Source organism: Homo sapiens, chromosome 8 (genome assembly GCF_000001405.40).
Source record: "Homo sapiens chromosome 8, GRCh38.p14 Primary Assembly".
Classification (NCBI taxonomy): Eukaryota; Metazoa; Chordata; class Mammalia; order Primates; family Hominidae; genus Homo; species Homo sapiens.
The window spans coordinates 39,092,182-39,105,747 of NC_000008.11; the positions used below are offsets into that span (position 1 = coordinate 39,092,182).

General features: G+C 34.5%; 1 protein-coding gene across 5 annotated transcripts in view; it reads left to right on the plus strand.

The window, feature by feature from the left end:
• ADAM9 (ADAM metallopeptidase domain 9) overlaps positions 1 to 13,080 on the plus strand; it is a 108,289-nt gene extending 95,209 nt beyond the window's left edge. For all 5 annotated transcript variants that reach the window (NR_027638.2, NR_027878.2, NR_027639.2 and 2 more), the window contains 2 exons: positions 9,682 to 9,749; positions 11,426 to 13,080. Coding sequence is in view for 2 of the 5 variants with exons in the window: in NM_003816.3 (NP_003807.1) it covers positions 9,682 to 9,749; positions 11,426 to 11,519 (162 nt within the window). In the remaining 3 variants the exon portion in view is untranslated. The remainder of the gene's footprint in view (positions 1 to 9,681; positions 9,750 to 11,425) is intronic.

The following is a 13,566-nucleotide window of genomic DNA, read 5'->3' on the forward strand; positions in this document are numbered from 1 at the left end:
GTTTTATTTGATAATTTGCACATATATCTGCAACCTGTTTTTCCCCTTAATGTCACTTTGTGATTTATCTCTATCGATAGATATAGCTGTGATTCATTCATTTTCACTGTTGAAAATGATTAGAAATCCTTCATTTTTTAATATATTTATACACACACACACACACACACACACAATCTCCCTATTCCACCCCCTTTATCTTTATAAAAAGGAGACAAAAATCGTTAGGCCCTTTCTCCTCTTAACCATGTATCTTGGAGATTTTTCCATGTTGTTATGTATACAGGATGGCCACAAAGGCCATATGCATGCTAGTTCAAAATTATCTGTATACTCTTCTTCATCATTGCCATATATGTATATATTTCTTATTTGGTTTTGGCAAAATATATATAAAATTTGCCATTTTAACCATTGTTTTCAAGATTTTTTTGTAAATTTAACAGTAGTGGTAAAAAAAAAACCCACTAATATTTACCATCTTAACAATTTTTACATGTACAGTGCAGTACTCCTAAGAATATTTACCTATGTTTTCTTTTAGTAGTTTTATAGTTTCAGGTCTTATGTTTAAATCTTTAATCCAGTTTGAGTTGATTTTTGTATATGGTATGAAATACCAGTTCATTTTCATTTTTCTTCATGTGGATATGAAGTTGTCCCAACACTATTAATTGAAGTGACTGTCCCTTCTTCATTGTGTATTCTTGGCACCTTCGTTGAAGATTAGCTGACCATAAAGTTGTGGATTTGGGGTTCTCTATTCTGTTCCATTTGTCTTTATGTCTGTTTTATGCCAGTAGTATGCCATTTTAATTAGTATAGCTTTGCAGTATATTTTGAAATTTGGTAATGTGATGCTTCTAGCTTTGTTCTTTTTGCTCAAGATTGGTTTAGTGATTCTGGGTCTTTTGTGGTTCCATATGAATTTTAGTATTTTTTCTATTGTTACAAAAATTGTCATTGGAATATTAATAGATATTGCATTGAATCTGTAGTTTGCTGTGGTTATTTTAATATTAACTCTTCCAGTCAGTGAGCATGGGATATCTTTCCATTTATTTATGTCTTCAATTCCTTTCATCAATGTTTCATAGATTTCCTTGTACAGATACTTATTTTTTGTGGTTAAATTTATTCCTATATTATTTATGTATGTATTTTTGATGTCATTCTAAATGGAATTTTTTTTCTGGATTTCTTTTTCAGATAGCTTGTTGTAGTGTATAGAAATACTAGTGATTTTCATATGTTGATTTTGTATTATGCAACTTTAGTGAATTCATTAGTTCTAACAGTTTTTTGGTTGACTCTTTAGGGTTTTCTATATAAAAGACCATGTCATCTGCAAACAAGGACAGTTTTACTTCTTCCTTTCCAATTTGGATGTCTTTTATTTCTTTTTCTTGCCTAACTGCTCTGGTTAGAACTTCTAGTACTATATTGAGTAGAAGTGGTAGGAGTGGACATCCTTGTCTTATTCCTGATCTTAGAGGAAAAGCTTTCAGTTTTTCATTGTTCAGTATGAAGTTAGCTGTGGGCGTGTGATGTACAGCCTTTATTGTTCTGAGGTTCATTATTTCTTTCTTTCTTTTTCTTTGTTTTTGAGATAGAGTCTCGCTCTGTCACCCAGGCTGCAGTGCAGTGGCACGATCTCGGCTTACTGCAACCTCTTTCTCACAGGTTCAAGTGATTCTCCTGCCTCAGCCTCCTGAGTAGCTGGGATTACAGGCATGTGCCACCCTGCCCAGCTAATTTTTATATTTTTAGTAGAGAGACAGGGTTTTGCCATATTGGCCAGGCTGGTCTTGAACTCCGGACCTCAGGTGATCCACCTGCCTCGGCCTCCCAAAGTGCTGGGATTACAGGCGTGAGCCACCATGCCTGGCCCAGTTTGTTCTTTCTATACAAATTTGTTGAGAGTTTTTATCATGAAAGAATGTTGAAATTTGTCAAATGCTTTTCCCTCATTTCTTAAAATGATCACATGGTTTTTGTTAGTCTATGTTCTTCATTTCTGTTTTTTGTTTGTTAATGTTGTTATTTATTGATTTGAATATGTTAAACCATCCTCGCATCCCCAGAATAAATCCCACTTGGTCATTGGGAAATATCCTTTTATGTGCTGCTGAATTCAGTTTGCTAGTATTTTGTTGAAGATTTTTGCATCTGTGTTCATAAAGGATATTGGCCTGTAATTTTCTTTTCTTGTGGTGTCCTTGTCTGGCTTTGGTTTCAGGGTAATGCTGGCCTTGTAAAATGAGTTTGGAAATATTCCTTCCTCTTCAAGTGTTGGGAAGAGTTTGAGAAGGATTGCATTAGTTCTTCTTTAAATGTTTGGTAGAATTCATCTGTGACTTTATCAGGTCCTGAGTTTCTTTAATGGGAGACTTTTTAAAGTTACTAATTCAATCTCCTTACTTATTATTGATCTTTTCAGATTTTTTATTTTGTCTTGATTCAGTCTGGATAGGTTGTATGTTTCTAGGAATTTATTTTTTTCTAGGTTCAATTTGTTGGTGTATGATTGTTCATAGCAGTCTCTTATAAAACTTTCTATTTCTGTGGTATCAGCTGTAATGTCTTCTCTTTCATTTCTGATTTTGATTCCTCTTTCTTTTTTTCTTAGTCTACTTAATGGTGTGTTAATTTTATTTATCTTTTCAAAAAACCAACTCTTAGTTTTATTGATTCTATTAATACTATTTTTCCAGTATTTCATTCATTTTTGCTCTGAACTTCACTATTCCCTTTCTTCTACTAACTTTAGGCTCAGATTGTTCCTCTTTTTCTAGGTCTTGAGGTGTAACATTAGGTTATTTGAGATTTTTTAAAAAATGTAGGCACTTATTGGTATAGACTTGCTATAAACTTCCCCCTTAGAATTGCTTTTTCTGTGTTGCATACATTTTGTTATGTTGTGTTTCTATTTTTGTTGTCTCAAGATATAGTTGTTTCTTGGTACACATTGGGGATTGGTTCCAGGACCCCTACATATAGCCCAATCTGCCTATACTCAATTAATTCTGTTGGCCCTGTAGAACCCACATATAGGAAAAGTTGGCCCTCTGTATATGTGGGTCATGAATACTGTATTTTCAATCTGTGTTTGGTTGAAAAATATCTGCATATAGATGTACCTGTGCAGTTCAAACCCGTGTTGCTTAAGTGTCAGCTATATTTTAAAATATTTCTTTTTATCTGTCATTGACCAAGTGATTGTTTAGGAGCATGTTGTTTAATTTTCATGTATTTGTGACTTTCCTAAATTTCTTCAGTTATTGATTTTGAGTCCTAATATTGTAGTTGGAAAACATACTTGATGTCAGTCTTTTAAAATTTGTTAAGGCTTGTTTTGCAGTTTAACATATTATTTGTCCTGGAGAATGTTCTGTGTGCGTTTGAGAAGAATGTGTATTCTGCTTTTGTTGGATGGAATGTGTCTATTAGATCTGTTTTGTTTAAAGTCTAGTTTGAGCCAAATGTTTTCTTACTGATTTGTTGTCTGGATGACCTATCTGTTGTTGAAAGTGAAGTATTGAAGTTTCCTAGTAGTATTGGGTTGCTATTTAGCTCTCTCTCCAGATTAATTAATATTCGCTTTATATATTTAGGTGCTCTAAATTGGCTGCATATGTATTTACAGTTGTTATATCCTTGTGATGAATCGACACCTTTACCATTAATGCACTTTTTCATCTCTGTTTTTATTGTTTTTGATGTTACATCATTTTGTCTGATGTAAGTATTGCTATCCTTGTTCTCTTGGTTTCCATTTGCACAGAATACTTACTCATATTTAAAAGAATTACTGATAGATGGGGACTTACTATTGCTATTTTGTTTTTGACCCTTCCTTCTTCCCTTGCTGCATTCTTTTGTATTTCTTTTTAATTAAAAAAATCAATTATGGATACATAATAGTTGTACATATCACATGGGGTACATGTGATATTTTGAAACAAGCATATAGTGTGTAATGATCAAATCAGGGTAATTGGGATAGTCATCACCTCAAGGATTTATCATTTCTATGTTAGGAACATTCCAACTCTACTCTTTTAGCTATTTTGAAATATACAATAAATTAATCATTTTCTTTGTTTTTTTGTAGTAATATTTTGATTCTCATTTTCCTTTGTGCATATTCTATAGCACATATATTGTGATATCTTTGCAATTACATAAAATATTTTATAAATTTATAGCAATCTATTTTAAACTGATTACTTCAATCACAAAAACTCTACCCCTTTATATTTCTTCTTCTTCCACTTTATGTAACTGATGACACAAAATTACCTCTTTTTATATTGCTTATCATTAACACAGATTCATTACTTTTTATGCTATGCTTTTAACATTCTAACAAGATTTAAAAGTGATTTTCACACTCACATTACAGTACTACAGGATTCTCTGTCTATACACTTACCATTATTATCGAGTTTTATATTTTCATATGGTTTTGTGTTGCTATTTATTTTCCTTTCTCTTCACCTTTTTTGCTCCTCTGCCACTTTGATTTTGAATATACTAGTCTTTGAGTCCACTGATGCTTTCTTCTGCCTCATCATGTTTGTTGTTGAATCCTTTTAGTGAATCTTTCAATTTAGCATTACAGTAGTTTTCAGCTCCAGAATTGCTGTTTGGTTCTTCTTTATAGTTCCTGTCTCTTTGTTGATATTCTCATTTTGTTCATACATCATTTTCCTGATTTCTTTTAGTTGTCCATCTGCATTCTCTTTTAATTTTTTGAACATCATTATGATGGTAATTTTTGAATTCTTTGGTAATTTATATATATCTGTTTCCTTAGGGTCAGTTTCTGGAGATTGAGTTTGTTTCTTTAAATGTGCCATGTTTCTATTTCTTTGTATTATTTGTCATTTATTATTGGGATTTTGGCATTTGAAGAATTAGCTGCCTTTCTCAGATTTTGCAGCCTTGTTTTGTACAAGGAGGACTTACGCTACTCAGCCTGGCTAGAGATTCTGGTAGCCTCTCAAATCTTTTTTGGGGATGTGTCCTCTGTGAGGTTTTTTTCTGCAGTCTCCTAATTGTGGAGGTTTGCTAGTTTCTACTCAAGAGCACCCCCAGGTGTCTGTGATACTGTGGTCTCTCTGACTTTTTTTTTTTTTTTGAGACAGAGTCTTTCTCGGTTGCCCAGGCTGGAGTGCAGTGGTGCCATCTCGGCTCATTGCAACCTCCGCCTCCCAGGTTCAAGCAATTCTCCTGCCTCAGCCTCCTGAGTAGCTGGGAATACAGGCATGCGCCACTACTCCCAGCTAATTTTTGTATTTTTTAGTAGAGATGGGGTTTCACCATATTGGCCAGGCTGGTCTCGAACTCCTGACCTCGTGATCCGCCCGCCCTGGCCTCCCAAAGTGCTGGGATTACAACTTGAGCCACTGAGCTTGGCCTGTTGTCTAGTATTTTAAGTCTTTTTTTTAAAAAAATTCTACAATATAGATATGACTATTGAATTATGAAATGTTTGTTTAGGTTTGTGAGGCCATACACCAATTAAATTAATTAAGAGGATGGACTGTGAGCCAAACTGCCCAGTTTGAGTACTGCCTTTGTCACTTTATAAGCTGTGACTTTAGGCAAGATTCTCAAACTCTTTCTGTACTTGTTTCCTCATCTGTAAAATAATAATAGTACTAATCACAAATGACTTTTGTGAAAATCAGAGGGATTCGTATGTGTGGAGCACTGAGAAGTGCTTGTGGCACATGTGAAGTGCTCTGTGAGCTTTAGCTATTTTCCCATGTGTTGATTGTCTGCTTTCAACCTTATTGAATCTCAGCTTATTTTTCTGATATATCTACTTCAACTGGGTATCTTTTAGAAGTTCCCTTAGCGAAGGTATTTTGGTAGTAAATTCTGTCAGTTTTTGTCTTTTCCGGATGTTTTTGGCTGACAGCTTTTTTTTTTCCTAAGAACTTTAAATAGACTATATTTTAACATCCTTTGTTGCAATTTAAACATTGTCTGTTACTCTAATTGATGCTGTAGATGATATCTTTTCCATGTGGCTTTTTCTTCTGTATCTTTAGACTATTTGGTGTAGATGTGGACTTAAAAAAACTCCTTTGCCAGTAAATAGACTTCCGGAGTTGATTTACATTTTTCAGTTCTAGCAAATTCTTAGCAATTATTTCTTTATTGCCTCTGTCTCATTATCTAATTAACTCTTTCATGCATTTCTTGCATGTTAGACTTTTTACTATCTCTGTTTCTTAACCTCTCTTTGGTATTTCCAATATTCTTGTGTATTCCATTCTGATTATATTGGATCTACCTTCTATTCACTAAGTCTCTACTAAACTATGCCAAATCTACTTAACCAACTCATTGAATATCTCATTTCACTAGTTTTATAGTACATTTAATTCCTGTAGTTCTACTTAGTTCTATTTCGAATCTGCCTGGTTATTTGTGATTGTTTGTTATAGTTTTATTATCTGTTTTAAAGCTTTTATTTCTTAAAGCATATTCAAACACCTAATTTTTGTGCTGTATCTGATCATTTTAATATGTATGCCCTTGGTGGGTTCTCAGGTTTGTTATTTCTGCTGACTCTCGTGATGGCTCATTTCTTAGTGCCCTTGTGATGTTGATTGTAAACTCACCTTCTTTGGAACTTTATATTGGAAATAAATATATTTGAATCCTGAATTATAGTGGGTTCCTACCGAGAGTATTTTTCTTTGCCAGATGCTTGGGGGCATGGTCAATCTTTGATGTCTTTAAACTGAAATTTTTGTTGATATATATATATTTTTTTGCCACACAAATGTTAGGAACTCTGGTCCCCAAACTCTTATGAGGATGGGTGTGTGGTAAGAATTTCTCCATGGAGACTATTTTTTTAGTTCCCCATCTATCAGCACCAAGGCAGTATCACCACGGGCCTTCCTTGAGGCAGGTTTTTGTTTTTCTAGTTAACCCATGGGGATACCACCCTTCATATGTCTAGGCTTTGTATAGGGCCTTGTATTCACCATTCCATCCAGCTCAGGCCCCAGCTTTTGCCTCCTTTATCTATGGGTCACTGAAAACGCATACTGCCACCTGCCAAGGATAGGAAGATTTCCACAGGACAAAGGCAACTCCGTAGTTTGGACTCTTTCATACGTTCTTGGTTTTTTTTTGGCCTGTAAGATGTTTCTTACTTCCCACCAACCCAGCCAAGTGTTTCAAAATACCTTTTAAATATTTTAGGCAGCATTTTAGGTGTACTGTACTGGGAAGTTTCCTCTGGACATTTGGTCCACTATTTGCAAGAAGTGAACATGTACTTCATTGTTTTTAATAACCGCATGCTGTTCCCTCTTATAAATTTACCAGAAATTTAAAAACAGGTTGTTTCCAGTCTTATACCATAAAAAAATGTGGCACCAAGCATCCTTGTAAATAGATCTTTGCATACATTTAAAAGTATATGTCAGATAAATGCCAAAAAAGATTAAAATTTTTTTAAATTAATTTTAGTTTTAATTGGCAAATCATAGTTGTATACATTTATGGGGTACAGCATGATGTTTTATGTAAACAATGTGGAAGTGATTAAATCAAGCTAATTAACATATCCAGCACCTTGCTTGCTTGTAATCTTTAGCTTGTTTTCATTAATTTATATTTAATTGACAAATAATAATTGTGTATATTTTGGGGTATCGTGTTTGTTTTTTTTTTTTTTTTTTTTTTGAGATGGAGTCTCGCTGTGTTGCACAGGCTGGAGTGCAGTGGCATGATCTCGGCTCATTGCAACCACTGCCTCTCGGGTTCAAGCAATTCTTCTGCCTTAGCCTCCTGAGTAGCTGGAATTACAGGCGTGCGCCATCATGCCCGGGTGATTTTTTTGTAGAGACGGGGTTTTGCCATGTTGGCCAGGCTGGTCTTGAACTCCTGACCTCATGTGATCCACCTGCCTCAGCCTTCCAAAGTGTTGTGATTACAGGCGCCTGGCCACAATGTGATGTTTTGGTCTATGTATACCTTGTTGTAAGATTCAGTCGGCTGGGCGCGGTGGCTCATACTTGTAATCCCAACACTTTGGGAGGCTGAGGTGGGCGGATCATGAGGTCAGGAGATGGAGACCATCCTGGCTAACATGGTGAAACCCCGTCTCTACTAAAAATACGAAAAAAAAATTAGCCAGGCGTGGTGGTGGGTGCCTGTAGTCCCAGCTACTCGGGAGGCTGAGGCAGGAGAATGGTGTGAACCTGGGAGGCGGAGCTTGCAGTGAGCTGAGATCGCGCCACTGCACTCCAGCCAGGGCGACAGAGCCAGACTCCGTCTCAAAAAAAAAAAAAAAAGATTCAGTGAAGCTAATTCCCATACCCATCACCTCACCACATTGTCATTCCAAAAGTGGACTTGATCCCTTTAGAGTGCTGTTCCTATGGCTTGTGGAAAGGGATGGAGACATTTTGTTGCATTTTTCACCCATTTTCACAGTACATATAAATCATTCTGTGGGGAAAAAAATTGCAGATGATAGACCACCTGTTCTATGGTAGAAGCCAGAGGGTGCTCAAGGTCTTCACCACCACTGTGCATTCTCTGCCAGTCATAGAACTTTAGGAGTTAACAGTAGATAGTAAAGAACATCTTGGTCAAGGTCACTTCATCATTGATTTAGTAATTCCATCTGATCATTCCTAACGTCTTATAGTGTAATGTGATATGTGAAAAATATTACTTTTACTTTCTTATTTGAGGCTAAGTTATACAGTTTCACTTTGTTGTAAACTTCAACTACTTCATCAAGGAAGGATATAATGAATTCCAAAACCGAGGATTCTAGCTGAGTGGTTTTTATAGTATTAGTTAGATACTGTATAGGTTTGGCAATACATTTTGGAAGATTTTATTTAAAATACATTGACATAGGAAATATGTTACCTTCTAACTAATACAGTTGGTTTGAACCAAGATCTTAGTACTTTGGTATTACTGAATTTAAAAAAATACCTTAAAAGAATTAAGTATTCCACATTCAGTGGTAAAGATATGTCAAATAAGCAAAATATTTTTGACTGTCAGCATTATAAATAAATACAGGTTGAGCACCCCTAATCTGAAAATCCAAAGTGCTCCAAAACCCAAAACTTTCTGAGCACCAACATGATGCCACAGGTGGAAATTTCCACACCTGCCCTCATGTGATGAGTTGCAGTCAGAATGCACTGTTTAGTACTTATATGTGAATAAATCTAAGAAAATGATTGCTTACCAGTAGTATATAAATTCAGAGTCAGGAGTGATGGTGAGCCAAACAACCACAGATTGTCCACATGAGGGGCTGAGAGAGTAACACCTTTGCTTTCTGATGGTTCAGCATACACAGACATTATTTTATGCACAAAATTATTTAAAATATTGTATAAAATTACCCTGAGGTTATATGTATGAGGCCTATATGAAACATCAATGACTTTTCTGTTTAGACTTGGGTCCCGTCCCCAAAATATCTGATTATGTACGTGCAAATATTCCAAAATTGGAAAAAAAATCTGAAATTTGAAACTCTTCTGGTTCTAAGCATTTCTGATAAGGAATATTCAACTGTAGTCTGTTTATTGATTTTAAATATGTAGATTTCTTCTATTTAGAAATCATATTTATGAGCACATAGTGGTAATAACCTTATTTTTTTTTTCTTTTTAGCCTATATATGCAAACAGATTTGCAGTACCAACCTATGCAGCCAAGCAACCTCAGCAGTTCCCATCAAGGTCAGAAGAAAATTTGCTTAGATTTTTTGGCCAGAATAAAACCTAGGGGTTAATGTCTAATAATTTCCCCTGTATTTTAATGTAATTTAGTGAAAGGTATTTATTGTCAACAGTTTACAAGAATATGATTTGCAGAAAGGTTTTAAAATAACTTTATATAAATTTTATCATATTGGTACAGGGTCAAAATGAAATATTAAATAAGCTTGAGCAAGACAGATTCTGCTGCCACAGCTTTCATGTGCATACGATTTAGAAGCAAGGGCCTTTGAGATAACCAGCAGTAGGAAACCAGATGGGTTGGAACAGCCTTCCCGTCAAAAACAGCTAAAAAAGCTGGACAATATAAGAAAATATGTGTTTGAAGGCATAGAAGACTAAAGAAGTGAGGAATTGTGGGGGTAAGGTCAGGAGAGGAAGGAAATCTAGAAATGATCCCAGCTTTGGGGGCCACTTTTCCTTCCTAGATGAGTTTACCTGTTCTGACAACAGAGAGGCTAGGAAGCTGAGGAGAGCTTTCTACAAACTCACAGGGCAGAGGGGACAAAATTTAGAATCCTGCCAAAGAGGAGGCACCCTGGCAAACATCTCAGGGTCTGTGCTGGGACCCAGAAGTAAGAGTGAACTAGACCTTCAACTGATTTCTACAATTTCTTATGTTTTGCTCATGATCAAAAAAAGCCAAGTGTAAAAGAAAAGAAAATATGACTAAAACCAAGAAACAATAGACCATAGAAACAGACTGAGATGGTATCCAGTTAATAGACATGGACTTTAAAATAACTATGATGTCATGGAATTAAAAGTCAAGATTGAGAATTTCAGCACAGAACTAAAAACTAAAAGAATCAATGCAAATTCTAGAACTGAAAAACACAGGAACTGAAGTGACTCAATGGATGGGCTTAAAATCATCAGGAAGGAAGATAATTTATTACTTCATTTTGTATCACATAAAATGCAAATGCATGTGACCCTCCCATCCCCTAGAAGTCTTTCAAATTACAATTGCGTTGCAACTCTGAGGACTATCTTCATATGTAATCTTTATTATACAGTAAGAATACATTGAAATCCGACTGAGGATCAGGGAAAGAGTATATAAATTGTGAGGGAAACATTCACCAGGTAGTGTTCTAGTGTTACTGGAGTAGAGGTGTACTAGAATTGGATGATGAGGTTAGGAGCGGGTGTCCACAGGTGGAAGTATGAGGTTTGAGATGGACAGGTATAGAAGTCATAACACTTTTAATTCTCAGAGTGAATCTCATGTTGAGGGAGCTATAAACAGCTAGGTTTACACCAGCAGTAATTTGCTGCCCTCAAATTCTAACAGCACAGGCAAGTGCTTGATCACTTAGTGTACTCACTTGTCTTTTACAGTTTATCTTTACCATTTCATGTGCTTTTTTTTTTTTTGAAAAAACATGTAAACTAGAACCTTCATACAACATTGTTGATTATGGAGTAATATTATTTAAAGTAGTTATTCCATTTTAGACTCTAATTGGAGCCTTTTAGCCATTGAATATCACCCTAATACTGATCTCAGAATGTACAGTACCCTTTCCTGTTGTCAGAGATGTTGAGGATGGTGTTATGTTGAGCTTGTAATGAATATGGCATTATTTCACCCAGTCTAAACACTCTATTAACTATCTCTTTTCCCCTCGCAGGCCACCTCCACCACAACCGAAAGTATCATCTCAGGGAAACTTAATTCCTGCCCGTCCTGCTCCTGCACCTCCTTTATATAGTTCCCTCACTTGATTTTTTTAACCTTCTTTTTGCAAATGTCTTCAGGGAACTGAGCTAATACTTTTTTTTTTTCTTGATGTTTTCTTGAAAAGCCTTTCTGTTGCAACTATGAATGAAAACAAAACACCACAAAACAGACTTCACTAACACAGAAAAACAGAAACTGAGTGTGAGAGTTGTGAAATACAAGGAAATGCAGTAAAGCCAGGGAATTTACAATAACATTTCCGTTTCCATCATTGAATAAGTCTTATTCAGTCATCGGTGAGGTTAATGCACTAATCATGGATTTTTTGAACATGTTATTGCAGTGATTCTCAAATTAACTGTATTGGTGTAAGAGTTTTGTCATTAAGTGTTTAAGTGTTATTCTGAATTTTCTACCTTAGTTATCATTAATGTAGTTCCTCATTGAACATGTGATAATCTAATACCTGTGAAAACTGACTAATCAGCTGCCAATAATATCTAATATTTTTCATCATGCACGAATTAATAATCATCATACTCTAGAATCTTGTCTGTCACTCACTACATGAATAAGCAAATATTGTCTTCAAAAGAATGCACAAGAACCACAATTAAGATGTCATATTATTTTGAAAGTACAAAATATACTAAAAGAGTGTGTGTGTATTCACGCAGTTACTCGCTTCCATTTTTATGACCTTTCAACTATAGGTAATAACTCTTAGAGAAATTAATTTAATATTAGAATTTCTATTATGAATCATGTGAAAGCATGACATTCGTTCACAATAGCACTATTTTAAATAAATTATAAGCTTTAAGGTACGAAGTATTTAATAGATCTAATCAAATATGTTGATTCATGGCTATAATAAAGCAGGAGCAATTATAAAATCTTCAATCAATTGAACTTTTACAAAACCACTTGAGAATTTCATGAGCACTTTAAAATCTGAACTTTCAAAGCTTGCTATTAAATCATTTAGAATGTTTACATTTACTAAGGTGTGCTGGGTCATGTAAAATATTAGACACTAATATTTTCATAGAAATTAGGCTGGAGAAAGAAGGAAGAAATGGTTTTCTTAAATACCTACAAAAAAGTTACTGTGGTATCTATGAGTTATCATCTTAGCTGTGTTAAAAATGAATTTTTACTATGGCAGATATGGTATGGATCGTAAAATTTTAAGCACTAAAAATTTTTTCATAACCTTTCATAATAAAGTTTAATAATAGGTTTATTAACTGAATTTCATTAGTTTTTTAAAAGTGTTTTTGGTTTGTGTATATATACATATACAAATACAACATTTACAATAAATAAAATACTTGAAATTCTCTTTTGTGTCTCCTAGTAGCTTCCTACTCAACTATTTATAATCTCATTAATTAAAAAGTTATAATTTTAGATAAAAATTCTAGTCAAATTTTTACAGATATTATCTCACTAATTTTCAGACTTTTGCCAAAGTGTGCACAATGGCTTTTTGTTAATAAAGAACAGATTAGTTTTGAAGAAGGCAAAAATTTCAGTTTTCTGAAGACAGCATGTTATTTTAACAATCAAGTATACATATTAAAAATTGTGAGCAATCTCAAATGAAGGTCCATCGTTTCATTTTAAATCTCTAAATGAATTCATATAAGACTCAAACGTTTGTGCTGTTCACTCATGTAGCCTCAGTTTTTGCAATTGTGATGCATATCACTGAAATTTTACAGTTGGTAATGTATTAACTATGTAACTTAACACTTGGAATTAAATAGTTCTTTGGATATTTGACTAGTTAAGTTTTTAAAAAGACTATTGGATCTGAACTTCTTTTATATATTTTTTAATATGCTTTATGTTTTTTACTTACTTGGTCATGGATGCCACTTCAAAATTTGAAAATATTAAAGGACATCCTTTCTTTCTTCAAAAAGAATAAATAAGGGTAAATTATATGCAAGTTTGACATCTCTGTTTGACTCTGTATGTCAAACTGACCTTGTTCAGAGTATTGCATTCTCGCTTTCTCCTGTGTCTGTAACCATAGAGTTAAGCACAATTTGGGTTTTCTAAACTCAAATCAGATTTTATTAA